Source organism: Homo sapiens, chromosome 2 (assembly GCF_000001405.40).
Source record: "Homo sapiens chromosome 2, GRCh38.p14 Primary Assembly".
Lineage (NCBI taxonomy): Eukaryota > Metazoa > Chordata > Mammalia > Primates > Hominidae > Homo > Homo sapiens.
The window spans coordinates 143,636,348-143,655,915 of record NC_000002.12 but is presented as its reverse complement, the minus strand read 5'-3'; the positions used below and the strand labels follow the sequence as shown (position 1 = coordinate 143,655,915).

The 19,568-nt window shown below is 36.1% G+C and overlaps 1 protein-coding gene and 1 long non-coding RNA gene across 14 annotated transcripts in view; one reads left to right on the top strand and one right to left on the bottom strand.

Moving 5' to 3' along the window:
- Positions 1-15,160, top strand: part of ARHGAP15-AS1 (ARHGAP15 antisense RNA 1) — a 135,343-nt gene extending 120,183 nt beyond the window's left edge. For 4 of the 5 annotated variants that reach the window (XR_007087251.1, XR_007087250.1, XR_923394.3 and 1 more), the window contains 2 exons: positions 6,982-7,204; positions 14,655-15,160. This is a non-coding gene — a long non-coding RNA (ARHGAP15 antisense RNA 1). Of the gene's footprint in view, positions 1-6,981 lie in introns of all 5 variants that reach the window. The other variant, XR_007087252.1, reaches the window with a different exon arrangement.
- ARHGAP15 (Rho GTPase activating protein 15) overlaps positions 1-19,568 on the bottom strand; it is a 638,934-nt gene that overhangs the window by 112,437 nt on the left and 506,929 nt on the right. The gene's annotated exons all lie outside the window — the stretch shown is intronic.

Below are 19,568 nucleotides of genomic sequence, written 5' to 3'. Positions count from 1 at the left end.
TTCTCTAGTTGTTGACATAAATCTGGAAAATGGACGTACCGAATGCTGAGTTGTCTTGTTCTCCTTTTGGAACTTTTTTTTTTTGGCATCACTTGTTAAGGTGGGGCAACCTTGGTGAGGCTGACTGCCAAGAGTCAAACTGTGGATTTGTAGAAGCAGGAAAACACTGATTCTTGTTTTTGGTCTATGTACTTAGTTCTTCCAAACTGCATGGTAATTTTTTATTTTTACCAAGGTTAGTAAAGTCCTTCATACCACCAGGCAGTTACCTAGTTTAGTAAGGCTGTAATATACAAAAGCTAAAATCCTTGCTCCTAAAATCAACTCTACTATGGGGAAGAAAGGAAAACTAACATTTAACAGTGCCAGGCTTCATGCTAGAAATTATGCATCAAAAGATATTAATACTTAAAACAATCCTATCAGTTAGATAACAGATTCATTCTAAAGATGAGAAAATTGATGTGTTGAAATCCTGTTGATTACCACACTGTGTCTGGCAGTATGTAGCAGGGCCCAAATTCAAACCCAAGTTTACCTGACTTTAAGGCTCATATTCTCTCCATAACACCATGTTTTACTTCCTCATTGAAAAATGCTGCCCTTAAGAATGATGCAATGGACTTTGGGGACTTGGGGGGAAGAGTGGGAGGGGGTCGAGGGATAGAAGACTACAAATATGGTGCAGTGTATACTGCTCGGGAGATGGGTGCACCAAAAACCACTAAACTTACTCATGTAACCAAATACCACCTGTACCCCAATAACTTATGGGAAAAAATGCTGCCCCAGGGAAATAAGTTATTACCTTTGCCATGAGTTTATCAGAATTCGTATTTTAACATTTTTTGATGGAGAGTCTTGCTATATCGCCCAGGCTGGTCTCAAACTCCTGGGCTCAAGGAGTCCTCCCACCTCAGCCTCTGGAGTAGCTGGGAATACAGATGTGTGCCACCACACCCAGCCAATTCTGTTTTATATTTTAGAAACGGGTCTTGCTTTGTTGCCTAGGCTAATCTTAAACTCCTGGTCCCAAGCAATCCTCTTGCCTCCTCAGCCTCTCAGGTCATATTTTAACTTTTGGTTGTTCTTTTGTCTTTATAATTAATTTCCATATATTCAAGAGAACATTACTGGATAATATCACAATATACATAGAGGTAGTTTAGCAAGGGGGAAAGAAGCCAGATTTAGAATAAAAACCCTTGGGTTTCAGACTGACAGTTCAAAACGGTGACACTAGAAATGTCAGTCAACCTTTTTGAGTCTCAATTTATTAATTGGATAAATGAGGATGCTTGTATCTATTCTCAGAATGACTGGCAAAATCTGAAAATACTTTAGGGAAGTATGTGATGCATTTTAGCACAATTTCTATACAAAAATTAATACCAAAAGATTTCATATTTAAAGGGCTTTTTCACTTTTTGCAAAATTCACTTACATAAATCAATTGTAGTGATTTGGCTGAATCAGTGCTATACCTGATAATGAAACATTATCACAAACCTAAGTATATTATGCTTTTCTCAACTCCTTTTTGAGTAAGTTATAGTGACCTCACTGAGGATGATTGCAGGGATGAAATCATCAAAGAGCCAATTTATATAGGTAGCAAACTGGGCACCTGTCATTTTGAAATATAAAGCATTCTATTATACCATTATTTTAAAATTTACTTAATGGCACCACACTCCAACAAATCTTCCAAATCATAATTCTGAGAATCTGTTCTGTATTTTTCTCTCAATCCCTAGATCTAATACCCCTATTCTCTACTGTTGATGGTCATTGGCCAACCCATTCTAAAATTTCTACTCCCTGAATATTGCTTAAATAACCAATAGCTTCTTCACTGACTCCCTAGCCCCAGTCTTTTTTTGTCTACCCCCTTGCATTCTCTAAATATACACGTAATATTTCAAATCTAATCATGTCATGTACTTGTTTAAAATCCTCAGTGGATTTTAATTGCCTTCAGGATAAAAACTTAATAGTAGAAAAACTTCCAGAATCTGGGAAGTGACTACACTAATTCATTCATAACACAGTAACACAGTAGAAGAATAACTTTTGGCACCTATTATATGCCAGGTACTGTGCCCTGTTCTGGCACTATGGAAACAAAACAGGAATTAAATGGCTAGTCATCCCAGACTATACAAACACAATTAAGAAAAGTGCGATAAGGAATGCCGACCCAGTATGGGGGGCAGGTAGTATTCCTTCAGGAAGACTTATTTCTCATCTCTTTTATTTCATGTTTCTTAAGTTTTAATCAGTTCCTTAAATATTTGTATTCTCCTTCCCTTTGAGGCTAAAGTCAGGAATGAGGGAGATGACATCACTATTCCATAGACAATAAAAGAATGATAAGAAAATATTATGAACAAATTTATGCCAATATATTTAGCAAAATAGATGAAATGGAGAAATTCCTTGAAATTAGGAATGTTCCTGTGTCTATTAGAGAAATTGAATTTCTAGTTAAAATTTTTTCACAAAATTGAAGAGGATGGAGTACTTCGTAGCTCATTCAATTAGGGCCAGCATTGTCCTGGTACCAAAACCATACAAAGATATAAGGTGGAAAAAAATCATTCAGATTAATATGCTTTATAAATATAGATATGAAAATTCTAAAGAAAATTTTAATGAAACTCAAAAATGAATATATCATGACCAAGTGGGTTTGTACTGGGAATGTAGTTTTGATTTAGCATTTTAAAAATCTATCAATGTAGTTGTTGTATTAACAGACTAGAAAAGAGAAACCTTATGTTCATCTCAGTAGATGCAGAAAAACTTCTGAGAAAATCCAGCATCTATTTGTGATTAAAAACTCTTAGCATACTCAGGACAGATGGGAAGGAAAAACCTAAAACTAGCATCATATTTAATAATGAAAGATTGAATGCTTTCCATCTAAAGAAGAGAACAGGACAGAAATGTCCACTCTCATCATTTCTACTTAACATGGTACTAGAGATTTAGCCAATGCAATAAGGCAGGAAAAAAAATGTATCCAGCTAGAAAGCCAAAAAATATTATTGTCTTAATCCAAGGATCACATAATCTTCTATGTAGAACATCTGATGCTCTCCCAAAAAACTATCAGAACCAGTAATTGAGTATTGCAATGTTGCAGAGTACAAAACAAAATACAAAACCAGTTACAATTCTGTATAGTAGCATCAAACAAGCAGGAAATGAAATAAGGATACAATTTACAATAGAATTAAGAATATGAAATACTCGGGGATAAATATGACCAAAGGTATGTGTAAAATTGTAAAACACTGTTGTGAAAAATTAAAGAAGACCTCATTAAATAATGAGATATAACTTGTTCATTGGTTGGAAAACCCTATATTGTGAAAATGTCAATTCCTCCCAAATTAATCTACAGGTTTAATGGAAAGCCAATTAAAATTTTGGCAAGCTTTTAAAAATATATATAAGTTAGCAAGATGATTCTAAAGTTAATGTGGAAATGCAAAGGACTTAGCACAAATGCCAGCAAACTATGACCTGCGGTATACTTCCAGCTTGTTGCCTTCTTTTGTAAATAAAGCTTTACAGCCACACAGTCATATCATATTGCCTATGGCTGTTTTTTGCACTGCAAGTGTAGAACTGAGTACTTACAAAAGAAACCATATGGCCTACAAGCCCTGAAATATCAACTCTCTGTCCCTCCACAGGAAAAATATAATTGCTGACCCTTGACCTAGAGTAGCAAAAACAAGTTTGAATAAGAAAAAAGTAGAGAACTATCTGACTCTCAAACTTATATCAAAATTACACTAATAAAGAAGTGTGGTTCTGGCATTGAGTTAGATGTATAGATCAATGACCCAAAGTGGACAGTCTCAAAATAAACCTCTACTTACATGGACAACAGACATCTGATAAAAATGCAGAGATGACAAAAAAGAGAAAGGATGGTATTTCCACTGTATCCAGAAGACAAAAATAACTCTCAAAACTCTATAATCAGAAAACGTAAAATCCTAATAAAACTGGGCAAAATATTTTAATAGACACTTCACCAAAGAAAACATGAAGATGGCAAATAAGCATGAAAAGATGCCCAATATTACTGACCATTAGGGAAATGGAAATACAAACCACAATGTAATACCTGTACAAACCTACTTAAATGGCTACAATTAACTGACCATCCTGAGTGTTAATGAGGATGTGGAGGAAATGCATATCTCCTATACTGCTGGTAGGAATGAAAAATGATATAGTTACTCTGCAATACAGTTTGGCAGTTAAAGTTAAATATACATCTACCATATGACCCAGTCATTCCACTCCTAGGTATTTATGCAAGAGAAATGAAAGCGTATGTTCATATAAAGGCTTATACACAAGTATTCATTGCAGCTTTATTTGTAATAAGCCCAAACTGACCACTCCAAATGTCTATCAACAAGTAAATAAAATCATAAGCAAATTTTGTTGTATCCATACAGTGGAATGCTACTTAGCAATAAAATCACTTGATACACAACAACAGCATTAATGAAATTTAAAATAAATTGTTCTACATAAAATAAACCAGATAAAAAAGCAAATTATTTGCTCTGGGGCAGGGACCAGGGAGTGGAGGAAGGAAATTATGAAAGGGCGTGGGGAAACATTTAGGGGTGAAAGTTGTGCTCATAATTTTGATGAAAAAATCTGTATGAATCACTTCAATACAGAACAATTTTACCTTTGTATTACTATAGCTTTTATTGAAAATGAACACATAACAATAGCAAACAAATTTAAATGCTCCCTGATTTTTATTCTGGGTAAGACTAGGAAACCTGTATTTCAGTGAATTCACTGCAGTGGACTTTTTCTGCTGATCACAAGATATAAGTAATTGACAGTCTTATGTATGAACAATGTACTTAGTGCATAGAGATACAGGAGTTTCCTGCAGGAGTCCTCTAGAACAACATGGGAATGTAACTTTAGCACAGCAAAAATGCACAACCTATGGTGCTGATTTGGGTGAAAATGAAACATGAGACGAGTGCTATGTAATCACACTCTAGAGTTAATTTTAAGATCATATTTTACTGTAAGGATTTTGGTAATAAAATAACATTATATACCAAATAGCGAGGTATGTTAACTGCCACCATATAGATACAACAAATTAAACCAAGAATTTAATTTCATCTTCAGTACGTACCACAGAAACCCCAGCAATACCAAATGAATTGTATTGACAATCAGGATTTGCCATGTGTAAAAACCTTCAATTTTACCTTCCTCAAAACAAGGCAAAGGTGCTTTCCTGTCTCCTTCATTTGGCTCTGCTCCTAACCTTGAGAATACTTAGTGGGTGCAGTACCCAATACTATGGGAAAATCAGATGAAAGACTTGGTTCACTGAAGAACTGCAAACATCCGAGGAAGGTACTGTAAGGTATAGCACCATAAAACCATCACATTTTAGAACCAGAAAAGATGATTACAGGTTAGTTAATTCAATAATCCCATTTTAAAGAAGCAAACTACAGATCTGAGCGGACACGTGACTTGTTTGATGTGGTGGAACTCATTAGGGCCTGAAGCAGGAGAATTTAAATCACTTCCCAACCCACTCTTTTCTTGGTAAACCATTCTTGCTGTTTGAATAATGATAGTGCCACCTCAGGTAGGTAATAAAAATAGACACTTCACCAAAGAAAACTGAAATGTTATATCATTTTGGAGAAAACAAATCTGCATAGTCCCAGCATCTATCTCTCAGCCCATCAGGATCCATAGCTAGATAACATTTTTTAGAGTTATCATTTTTTTCCCCAGGGAAAAAATTGACTACTTAGTTTACTGACGGAATTTAAAAGAAGAAAAAAAACCTCCAACAACATGAAACTGGAAGACAAGAAACAATTTATAAAATTTTGGAAAATGTTAAATATTTGTGGTAAAAATAGTTTTTAGTGAAATGGTTATTCTTCACTTACTCTGGCAATCCCTAAAGTGTAATGTACTTTATAGGTGAAAGTATTTCACTGTTGTCATTCATATTAGATACTAGTTCCTTCCACCTGTAAAATGGGTGGAGCTCTGAGTTCTAGTTGTTCAAAGTGGCCAATTCATAGACTGTCCAATTAGCATTTCCACAGTATTGGCATGCAGGCAGAATCTTGTCATTTTCATTTCCTTGTATTAAAGGGCACACATTTGTTCGATACCTTCCTTATTCAATGATTGTGGAAAACAGACTACATCTGCTGGAGAGCAAACATTGTTTCTTCTCTCCAGATGTCTGCTTTTTCTCCCAGAAGTTGGAGAGCATTGGACAAGCAATAACAGATGATGAACACATGCATAACTACAAATGGGCAAGCTGATTGTTTTCAAAATTGGTATAAACATTTGCTCTTGGGTTGAGATTTAGCCCATAGCAAATCTTTACATTTGCGTTATAAACTCCCAACTAAAAAAAATGTTTATAATGGAAGTGCTGACAATGTGAAAATTCAGTTACGGTCAGGAAAGCAGTTTTGTTTAAAAATGCCATTTTGCACTTCCATATTTACTTCCTAACCAGGGACTGAGATGTCAGTTTCTCCAAAGTTTTCTTTCCTTGTCCAAAGGAGAATTTGAGGACTGTTTTGAAATGAACAACAGATCTGACTTTCAGTGTCTTGCTTCTTCAGCAAACATCGAAATATAGAACCACATGCTGGTTATGCAACTGGTTACACTGATGATGATGATGATGATGAATGATAGAAGAAAATTAAGCTTGTTGCTAGAGAGAGGTTTTGCTTTTTTACAGTATTTGATAAATATAGGAATTTTTAGGAAATACCTTGCTCTCTATGACCCTGACTATGCTAAGACTCACGTACATTGACTAGGGGTTATGAAATGAAGTCAGAGAAATCTTTTGACTTGCTTATAAATTACTAGGTCTGAGACTAAAAGTGTGGTTTGCACTATGTCTTGTTATATTCATAGAGATACGACCCTCTTTTATATAGTTGAACTGCAAAGACTACCTTACTGTTCACTCCCAGAATGGCAAAAAGATAGATGAAGATGGAGAAATGTGCACCTAACACTGCATCTTTATGAGCAAAGGATTTTCTTTGGAAAAACTGTGATTATATGAAAATCATAGGACATTTTATTTGTGACTACAGGGCGTGGTGAAAACCTCTGCTACCATACTGGATACAAGGTAACTCTTTTCATTTAGAAATTTAAAGCCATTATTTCTGATTATTTAGGTTTTTACCTGGATTCACACTTATTTTCAGGTAAATTGAAGTAGTTTTATAACAAAGCGTGAGGAGGAGGTGTGGGGAGGGAAGGAAAAACCCAAAATAGCCCAAGGATTTAGTAGACATGAACAGTCAAGGACTTGACATGTCCAGCTTCAACATGTAGATCCAAGTTTATTCTCTTGAGTTCACGAATGAGAAGAGGAACAAATGGCTCTTATTCTTGACATAAAAACAATCTTCTGCAGGGAAAAATAATATATGTTCAAATCTGAATTACCCTGTAGGCTACTAGCACTTAGATCTGCCTAATACTGTTACTTGAACAATTAGGGCATGCATGTAAAATTTTAACATTTGTATGTTTCTGCATTCAAGCACACAAATAGCAGGATACTTGCTGCATTCAGTGGTGGCCGCACAGTAACTCATAAATTAATGCATACAAGAAGGCTAAAGTTTAAATTATAGAACTCGAGTAACAAGAAACCAGCTAAGCATTAGGGCAGAATGTGCATTTTGTTTTTGTACTTTTGTTTGAAAACCTCAAATCATGCAAGTGTTCAACCTTGCCCAGGGTTAAGAGGACTCCCATTGAGTTTATTAGTAGATGTAGGGAACAAGCTGGGTGCTGCAGTATCAATCCTCTGAGTGGACTAATATTCCGAGGATTAATACTCAGCCCTCTTGGGCTGCTAGATTTCTGGACCTACTTTGAAATGAGTCTTATACCCATCAAAATATAATGAAGAGGGCATGTCTGTGAAAATATGAAAACCATTCTTATTTTCCATATTAATGAGAAAAGTTAATTTATTTCTCACACTGGGACATTTTAAGTGAAAGGCATACCTTCAATGATACCATATAAATCTTGGATAGCTAGTTAACGTTGCTAGTTATTTTGAATTTTCATTGTAATTTAACATTATATAAAGCGACGTATGTTTGTAAATTGAGATAAAAGAGCTCTGACGGACAGAATAAGTACAGAATTAAAGATTAATTTTTTCCCCAAATGAGATCTTTTTGGCTTGTCCTCTTACAATTACTGCTTGGATGACTGAAATGTATTCTTTGTTTGTAACTCAATGATTCACATAAAGGCAGCCTTGCAGTACCACATAAAATAACTATAATAATTTGTTGAAATTGAAGAAAAATGTGTTCATGTAGAAAGCACCTAACAACTCCTGCTTTGGTGTATTCTTTCCATAATCCTTCGATCAGCACTGTAATGTGAGCAGATTCAAAGTATACTTTCTAATAAGTGCCTTGCTTTTTTTATGTTCTTTTTTTTTTTTTTTTTAACTACTTGGTGATATCCTAATTAACCATGCTCAATTGATTGCTTTCAAAATAAGAACTAAGAGCTCTCATCTAGTCAAGTGGAAGCTAATTCAACTCTTTTACACTATGGCAATGATAAATCTCACACACATACTTCCACTCATACCCACCACATGTATTATATTAGCAATATCATACTCTAGGTCTTCTGGTTTGAGTCAGTATAACATGATAGGCACATTTCTATGGAATTTCATGCATTATTTTCTTTTAATGCTTATGAGGGTAAGTACAAATATCCATTTTTCATTCACAGAGTAGAATTATTTTTTGACTTTTTTTGTGATCTTTTGACCAACTCTCACATCCAGAAAATGTGCCATTTCTCTTGGAAAAAAGCAAAAGAGTATGTGGGTGAAAAGAAACTCAACACAGGCAGAAAGAAACTGACCATTTCATGTCTTAACCCAATTGCTACTCTCGGTTTTCTTTTCTTTTTGTCAAAATTAAACACGTCTTATTTGGATTGACAAGCACTTAATCATTTGATTATGAGATTATAGTATGTGGTCAGAGCATCTACTGCATGATGTTATTTTGCAGTAGAGGACACACTTTTTAGATCCTCATTACTGTGGGTCACATCTCTGGTCTCATAGATAAATGAGGGTAGACAATACAATACATACTAACTGTCATATACAGAACTGAAAAACTGTTTTCAGCATATATAAATCCCAGTCAAGGCATTACACAACTGGAGTTTAAAATGTTACATGTAAATCATCCAGACTTAAGCTTCTTGGGAAACACAAACCGTTCTCTAAGGACATACGAGACCAGAACGTCAGAAGATGCTGTCTCACTGTGGGATGGCAGAAAACAGTGGCTCACAGACCACCCTGGTGTATAGTAATCAACAATGCAGTGGCCCACTTTATAAAGGCGTCAGACAGTCTGTAAGCAAAAAAGGCAGAGCCTCCAACTGAGACAGGCCCTGCTAATAAGTGGCTTCTAGGAAAAAGAAAAAAGCTGCTTTAGCATATGCAACAGGTCTCATATCACAATCTTTTTTTTTCTTTTGCATTCCACCTTCTTCTTTCATATGAAACAACTCCATCAAGAGTGTCATTCTGAAACACCATGAGCAACAGAATAGAAGAATGCACTGACATTCTTACCCTTCTGCTCTCACAGCCCTTCATACATTTATTATGGTGCTGCACTTGTAAATATCTCATCACATGTCTGTTTCCCCTGCTGGACTGTGAATTTCCTGAGTGCAACACCATGCCCTGCTCATCTTACTGTTTCTACTTTCAACATTAGTGCGTGCTGAAGAAATCCTTCAGTACATATTTGGTGAAAGAGCTTTTCAATTCCATTACTGCCAGAATAGCTATCTGGGAGGCTCTGGACAAACCACTTCATGTGTTTTGCTTCAGTTTCCTCATCTAACGAATGGGAATAATGCCATCTTGAACATTTTGCAAAAACTTGGCCAAAGAGATTCTGCAAGAGAGATTATGTATTTGAAAATATTTAAAAAATATTTTTTAAAAAAGCTTGTGTTTGCAAGGTGCAGGTTGGGGCATTTCTTGCAATATAAGCTGAATTTCCTGAATAATACAGCCACCACGTGATGCTTCAATAGTATCGCGGAATTTGACTTACTCAGACAAGAGTTATTTGATCTTATGTTCCCTACCATTCAAAAGAATCTAATTAATTTGTATAATTTATATATTTGATAATGAAAAATAAAAGACAATTATTTCAGAAAGTATTGACGACATTTCAGTTTCCTTATAATTCTGACTTTATATGAGCAAAAGTACTTCAGTGAGTGCTCATACCTGCTGTGATAAGTACAGAGACTAAACCACATTTTGTCAATAAGGGGCAACTTGTACAAACTGGGTATGCAAATAGAAAATAATAATGTTGAAGAAAGTATAATTAATTAATTCAAGCTTCAAGATAAGATCACTGGATCCTGCTGACCCTACATGTTAATCAGTTGATTAATTGCTACAATCATAATAATTATATGGTACAAATCTAAGTACACTTAATGACAGTGTAGACTTAGAGTTAAAAGTTCTTTTCAATCTGCAGATCTTTTCTCTTTCTTGAATCAAGGGAGTTGGTTTCATTTACTTTAAAGATTTTACTTTAAAGATATCTTTTGGCTTGTAGAGCTGGAGAGCTTATGCCAAAATTAGCCAAAGTTCATTTTTGCCTGTTCAATTAACCATTTTTGATTATTTCTTAATGCTCTGTTTAAAGATGTAAAACAATCTCAAACCTATGTAATAGGAATTTTGCATCATACATCTTCATCCAATCATATTACTTTTACTCCAAACATGCTCACTGTACGAAGTGGTGTCGCAATTATATGGCAGTGGGTGTCCCCCAACATACAGTTTTCTATACTTTCTGTTCTATATTTGGATAGCAGATAGAAGGGGTCTGAGTTGTTATTGACATACTCAGATAAAAGTATGTGCTATAAAGTGAATATAATTTATCAAGAACCATCGAGACATTTAAAATGAGGACTAGAACTAAAATGGCTTAACATGCATACACATTTATATTTTTCACGTGAGAATCCAAGTTTTAGGCTTGATTTTTTTTGCACGCAGCAACTTATATCTTGGTATCATTGATCTGGCCGAACTTGCGTTCTGATCACTGTCAACTTCTGACTGGCTATTCAACGTTCCAGTCACTGTAAAAATTCAGTTGGGTAATCTTGAACAAATTCCTTACAAAGGTACACTGACCTGTGTTGGGGCTCAGAACATGATACCTCCAAGTATGGTCCTTTGGCATGCTGAGTGCTTTGAACTGAAGAAGATTAGAAGGGCCTCAGAAGCAGGAAGTTCTCTCTGATCTTTGCCTGCACTCCTTTCTCCTCTCATTTCTCCCCGGAAGCTGATCATATAAACTAGAACTCTTCCTCAAAGCAAGCCATAAAACCTAGAAATGTCACTCTCTAACTTTCTGTCTTCTCCCCTGAAGACCCTGATGTGATGGGTGTCCTGCCCTGTACCCAGAGGAAGGAATGTCATACAGAGACACAGAAAAGAATCTAGCAAACAGGCCTTGCTGAGTTCCACTCCCTACCCCCAGTCTATTACCATTAGATCATACTTTTGTCCAACCACATTTCTACATGGCTGTTCGTTCTCTATCAAACCTTAACATAAAAATGCACAGTTTTCCCTAGGTCTTCGGATCTTCATTTCTGAAAGTTCCTGTGTCACACTTTTGATTAAATAAATCTGTTATGCTTTCCCCTTACTAATCTTTCTTTTGTTATAGAGGTGTCAGCCATGGCCCTCAAAATGGGTAAGGAAAATGTATTGTACTTTTTTGCCCCTACAACTGTCCGGATTCTGTCTGTAGGAGCAATGCCAGTAAGAATAATCATCTGACTGATAATTTGTGTTTGACTCAGTTTTCTACTGTGTGCAAAACAACTCATCAACACAGCTTCTCAATTTCTGTCAAGTACATTTCTATCCTCTTGGTTATCTAGCTTCAAACCCTAACCCATCTATTTCTTCCAAGACCGTTTAACCGAGATGTCATTAAATCATTGCAACTTTTCTTTTTTGTAATCTTTTACATAAAGTTTCTTCTTTTCCTTCATTTCTTCCTTTTATTCTTTTGCAAAATAGTGAAATATTTTTAAGTTGGTGAACACCTTAGATGTAACCAAGCTACTAGATGCTTCTTAAACTTTTGCCTGCATATTAATAACCTGGAGAGCTTGTAAAAAGAGATTCCTAGACTCTATATTCACTGGTTATCATAAAGGAGGTCTGGAGTGGGGACCTCAAATTTACAGTCTAACATGATCCGAGGTGATTCTGATGCTACCAGTCTTTAAAGTATACTTTCAGTAACACTCTATAACTTTTTTTTGGTGGGGGGGGGTGGGTGGAGGGGAGGTGTCACACATCTAGGAATCTTGCTCCAGAAAATACACAGATTCACATGTACATAAATTTGGCCAATCTTCTGGGGAGTGGCACATGAGCCTCTTGAGGCATATCCATGCATGGGTCCCAGAGGACTCAGGTCACTTGCCCAAGGTTATATTTGGGCGATAGCCAAATGTAGTGCCAAATCACAATGGGGTTTCCTGCTTCCCTTCCCCTCTTAAACATATCCTGACAATTACCACCACATTATCTTCTCTAAAACATGGGTTTCTGCTTTCCACTACCTTTCTCAAAAATCTTTAATGGAGTTTCCCTGCCTGCAGCATAAAATTTAACCCATCTGCAGTATTGAATTCTCCGCAATTAATTAGTTAATTTATTGACCAAGAATTTACTGAGTCCCTTTTCTGTGGAAAGTTCTGTGATAGGCAGGAGGATAAGAAATTACTGCTTTGCTTTCAGGGATTCACAATACTGGATTAACTGTATCTGCTCTCCTTTGTTTCCTACTGCTGTCTCCAAAATCATTGCTGCCTTCAACCCCAATTCCTCACTTTCCACAAAACAGCAGCCTGGTCTCAGGGCTGGAGTCAGTGCTTGGCTGGAGCCAACATTCCCTGGCTGGCTCTCCAAACTCCATATACTCTTAATGCCTCCTTCATGAAGGCCTCCCAAACACTGCATTTTTGTCTCTCCCTTCTGTAGAACATTTATTGTCTTCATCATTCATTGTGCTGCTAGATCACATGTGCTCACATGTTCTTCTCTAGTTCAGGGAATGTACCTCTTACTTCTTCAGTACTCTCCTTGAGGAGCATATAGCATGGCTTGGACAAGGTGCTGTGATGTCAACATACTACGAGTAGGAAGAGCTGCTCTCCTCTTATTTGGCTTCACCAAGGAAAAAGAACCAAAATCAATGGTTCCCAAATGTGACTGCCGCCAGGATCACCTGAGGGTTTCCTCATGATTTTTTTTAGAAAACATTTTGGAAACTTACCCTAGGCATAATGAATCAACATCTACCTGGGTGGGTCCAGGAATCTGTTTCCACAAAGGTGAGTTGGATCAAAAAGCCAGGTTTGAGAAGCCTTCAAACAACTGATTCTGAAATCCCCCCCAACATTATCTACTCACCCTCTTCTTATACATAAAAAAAAATCACTACAAATATACTTAGTGCAGAAACTTGCAGAACACAGGAAAACAAAAAAGAGAAAAAAACCTGTATAATCATTCCCTGCTAATATTTTGAAGTAAATCCTTTCATTCTTTTCTCTACATATAAATATTTACAAACATATTTTACAATAGGCTTATACTATACATGCCATATCATACTTATATTCTCTTAATATTTACTGGTGTTTTACCTTGTGAAATAATGCTTTCTATATCACAATTTACCAATTGCTTAGTATTTCATAATATAAATGGGCCATTATCTAACCTTCCTTAAGTTTGTACACATACTTCTACATTTTTCAGTATTATAAGTAACGTTTTGAGGGGCAAGTTTGTATACATCCTGGTGCATATCTCTGAAAATGTCCTAAGGTAAATTTCTAGATATATAACTGTCAGTACAATGCATGCACATTTTAAAGGCTTTTGCTAAATATAGCCAAAAGTCCTTCTACAAATTTTCTAAGAGTTCTGATTCAAAGCAGTAACAGGCCTTGTCTCATCATGAACTTTGGCATTTCATCTACAGCTAAGTTTATATCATAAATAGTTCTTTACAGGCAGCACCAACTTATACCCTTATAGCATACTTTACTGTGTGAAAATTGCATCTTTCATTAAGCTTACTGTAAATTTACTGGCTGTCTTCCTTGCAGGTTTCCACCAACATTAGAGAAAAGAAAATTTTAAAATAATTAATCTCCTGAAGTAACTTTTGATGAGATGTAACATGAAAGCTAAAAACCTGAAGCAGGAGAATGCTATTTTCTCATGTGATACCTTATTCTAGCCATCTGTTGAACAAATATCTGGTTCCAAATAATGTAAAAACCGATAGCAAATCTTAATAACTTTTACTTGTGGATATTAGAAAGAACAACAGTGCTATTTGTGTAGTTATCTTATGGCAGTTGAAATACTCTATATGAATACACAGTTTGTTTTTTTTTTGTTGTTGTTTGTTTGTTTTTAGGTCTTTAACTTCTCAGCACCAGTTTTATGGAGCCCCCACCGCTAAGCAAGTATGCAAAATGCAGTGCTGCTTCGCATTGGGAAATCCCCAATCTGGTGCCAAGAGGTTCATAAATACAGTAATGGACCCTCTTATGTCAAAAGTGAGTACTGTTTAACAGCGTAAGTTGGAACAGCCTTCAGGATGCTTTGCAGCTGCAGTTGTTCCACTGCAAGACATCACAAACTTCATGATGATGGTTGTCACACCAGGTCCTGGAAAGGCAACCTACTTCAGTCTGCAAAGTGAACTAAAAGGGAATGGTTGTTCATACATGGCCCTGATGCCACTGACATAAGAAACGCAATGACAAGAGCGATGAAGTAGGAATTTGGTGGCAGATGGTCAGGTCTGCAGGAAGTGTCCACCCAGCTTTGTTTGGCCCATATTCTGAAACAACTAGAATAAACACTTAGTGTCATAATTTATAAGCATATCAGTACCAATAAATCAGAATCATGCAAACAGTCATGTTTATTATATTCTTGTTGCTTAATATTCATGACAGTAATTTATTTTTATAGTACAGTTTTACTGTTCTCTCCACCATTGCTCTCTGCATTTAAGGCTGGCAAGTTGTACTAGCAGAAGTTCAGGTAACCCTTTGAAGACTGCAAAATTCATTAGCCTGGTCAAAAGACTTGATTTGCTCATTTAATTTTTCCCTTTTTCTCTCATAAACTTTTAAGCCACTGAGATGAAATTTCTGGAAACTAAGTAGTAATAATACTTCTTCGACATGTAGAAAATGTGAATACTAGAGTCCACCTAGTCCTCTGGTAGTAGCTGTATAACAGAGCTCAGAAGGCAGATAGGAACATTTGGAGAGATGTAAACAGTTAATTCTTGAATTTACTGTCAACAAAATGGATTGAATTAAGCATTGTTTCCATCTCTGCCATTCACCTTCTCGCCACCCTCTTCCTTCTGATTCCCCATTTCAGTAGTTTGAGATCATTGCTCCTAACTACTATGGATTGTTCTAGGAGGAATTACTTGAAACAACCACCACAAAGCACATTGTTTTAAAAATTCATTTAGTGCCGGAACTACAAAGATCAGTAAGAAATGTCTCCTACTCCAGAGAAGTTTATGTCAGATAAACAGACATAAAACGATATTTTCGTTGGTCTGTACCTAGACAAGAGACAATTTATACCCAGTTTTGTGTATTTAACTCAGTAGAGAAAATTTACAATTAATTGCCAGAAAAAGGAGTCACAAACATACAAGCCTGGGAAACAAATTTTATTTTAAAATGTCCCAACTAAAAATACTCTTACAATACTATTAAGATCTGTGGTCTTATTCTGTAAGTTTGCTGTGTTTTAACAAAGACGTTAAACATTTTTTAAAAAGTGGAATACCACTGAATGTGAGTAGACATAGTATTTTAATTATAATTGAGCTCTTTTTATTATGGGTATGGAGGGTTGAAATAATGAATTTATAGACTCCATGAAAATACTTTTCTGGCACATGACATGAGGGATGAAGTGACACTTTGCTGCAGTTTCACCTTTTAATTAAATAACACATATGATGAAAGTTCTAAGAAATTTTATAATGTTATTTCCTAATTCACTTGCCGGGGATTGTAATAAGGACATAGTGCCTTCTTTCTACCTTTAAGCATTTGGAATATGGGAGCTTGATTGTTGTTGTTTTCTTCTAGTGATGCATTTTGCACAGAATAGGTGCTCTTAGCTAACATTCCTAAAAGATAAATTAAATGTTTGTTACAAATAAATTTACATATCCTTTAGCCTTCTCCATCTGCTAGGTGTGTTTGAATTTCACTGGTGCTTATTTTACTTTTAAAAATTTTTCCAGTGACCCAGGCACAAGAATGAGTACCTGTAATGTTGCCTTGGATACAGAAAGCAATTAAAAATGTTGAATTTGTTTTAAATTGAATAGTCAAGATGGAAGTCTTAAGTAAACAATGAGGTTTTGAGTACGTGTATGAGCAGAGAAAATTCATTTGTGTCCTGTTTGGTTTCCTCCCATTGTAGTTTTTAACAACATAAAGTCTTTATCTGAACTACATCTGAATCTACTAATTATCTCATTTCTAAATAGACACTTGTAATCATTTTTTTTCAAATTAGTCAAAAACTACAGTTGTGTGGTTAAGAGTAACAGCTTTGGAATCTTCCAGTTATGGGTTCGAATTCTAGCTCTGCAAATTCCCAGCTGGTAGCCTTAGGAAGGCTACTTAATATTGATTAGTCTAAATTTCCCAAATGGAAACAATAGGAAGAATAATAGTAACCACAAAGGAGTATTATAAAAATAAACTTAAATAGTGAAATGTACACATAGCAATTGGCTATATGTAAGTAAAAGTATGGTAAGTATACTAGAAATTAGAATTGTAATCATATGGACAGTTATGGGGTTTATTTAAATTCCCACTAGTCTAATAGTTTATAGTATTAGTGATTCAAATTCTTTCTAAATGTTGTCCAAATGTCTAGAGAACTTCACTTTGTAAATTTGGAATGTCTCTTCTCTGAGTTTTTTTTTTTTTTTAATATTTTTTTTTCTTTTATTTATTTATTTTTTATTATTATACTTTAAGTTTTAGGGTACATGTGCACATTGTGCAGGTTAGTTACATATGTATACATGTGCCATGCTGGTGCGCTGCACCCACTAACTCGTCATCTAGCATTAGGTATACCTCCCAATGCTATCCCTCCCCCCTCCCCCCACCCCACCACAGTCCCCAGAGTGTGATATTCCCCTTCCTGTGTCCATGTGATCTCATTGTTCAATTCCCACCTATGAGTGAGAATATGCGGTGTTTGGTTTTTTGTTCTTGAGATAGTTTACTGAGAATGATGATTTCCAATTTCATCCATGTCCCTACAAACCACATGAACTCATCATTTTTTATGGCTGCATAGTATTCCATGGTGTATATGTGCCACATTTTCTTAATCCAGTCTATCATTGTTGGACATTTGGGTTGGTTCCAAGTCTTTGCTATCGTGAATAGTGCCGCAATAAACATACGTGTGCATGTGTCTTTATAGCAGCATGATTTATAGTCCTTTGGGTATATACCCAGTAATGGGATGGCTGGGTCAAATGGTATTTCCAGTTCTAGATCCCTGAGGAATCGCCACACTGACTTCCACAATGGTTGAACTAGTTTACAGTCCCACCAACAGTGTAAAAGTGTTCCTATTTCTCCACATCCTCTCCAGCACCTGTTGTTTCCTGACTTTTTAATGATTGCCATTCTAACTGGTGTGAGATGGTATCTCATTGCGGTTTAGATTTGCATTTCTCTGATGGCCAGTGATGGTGAGCATTTTTTCATGTGTTTTTTGGCTGCCTAAATGTCTTCTTTTGAGAAGTGTCTGTTCATGTCCTTCGCCCACTTTTTGATGGGGTTGTTTGTTTTTTTCATGTAGATTTGTTTGAGTTCATTGTAGATTCTGGATATTAGCCCTTTGTCGGATGAGTTTTTTTTTTTTGGCACAATATTTGAATTTCCTCCCCAAATGTTGTAAATTTTTATCTCTAACTGCTCCATTGTTTTAAATGGCCTTGCAATTTGTCTTATATGGTTTTGAATGTATTTGAGGACGTAAATATGGACTTGGAAGACAAACTGCTCAGGTTTGTAAATATCACAATACTAGGAGGAAGGCACAATGAATTTGTAGTTAAAAACTTGGGTTTTGGTCCCAGCTCCTGTTGTTATGAGACTCAGGTGACATAAGTCTTTTGAATATGCAAAACTTAAAGCAAAATTCTCTTGTACCATGGTACAAGATGGTGTGCACATTTCAGCATGGAAATTTAAACTTGTACAAACTTATCTGAGAGAGAAAATGGTAAAAGTGAGAACTTGGACTCTAAATTCAATTTTGGATCCCAATAGTATAATATTAATAAGGAAAAAATCAAATATTTTATCATAGTAAGAGGAAGATATTGTGAGAATATAGGAGGAAGCTTTATTCTGCACTGATAAAGTTGTGCAAATAAAACGGTCCACTGAAGTATGATTTCTCTTATTCACTGAATGTGTCCCAAAAATTAATACATTGAAGCCCTAACCCTCAATGTGATGGTATTTGGAGAAGGGTCTTTGGGGGGGGCAACAAAGTTTAGATAGGGTCATGAGGGTGGGGCTCTCCTGGTAGGATTAGTGCCCTTACAGAAAGAGGGAAAGATCAGAGCCCACTCCTTCTTGTATTTGAGGACACAATGATCTTGTGTTTGAGTACACAATGAGAAGGTGGCCATCTGCAAGCCAGGGTAAGGGCCCTCACCAGGAACTGACCATGCTGGTGCCCTCATCTTGGACTTCCAGGCTCCAGAACTGTGAGAAATAAATTTCCATTATTTAAGCCACACACTCTCTGGTATTTTGCTATAGCTTCCTGATCTGACTGAGACAATTTCCAAACCTTAGGAGGGCACATTTGAGGGAGTGTGATCTTGGTGATGAAGGGTCTGGAAACTTTGATTCATGATAAATTATTGAAAGTGCAGAGGAAGAAAGGAGAGCACTGAACAGGCTCTACGGGTTACACTTTAAGTGTTTTAAAAATATTTAAGGGGCTGTTAGAAAAAGATCCTGCTGGAAATCTGACATTGACCAAAGTGGTTTTTCTAGTTGTGCTCTGGCTTGTCTTTCTCCTTGGTGGAGATTTCTGCTCAGTTAACACGGAGGGGGCCCAGCTCGCAGAAGCTCTGAGCATCACAAATCCAAGCTTACAGACAGGAGCTTCTGAAGCCTTTCTGGGTCTAATATTTGTTCAGGATCATTCTTCTTTTCCTGACGACTTTTTCTAAAACATTTTCATAACATGACACAAGCACATAGAAATTTCCAAAGAATATTTCAATGAG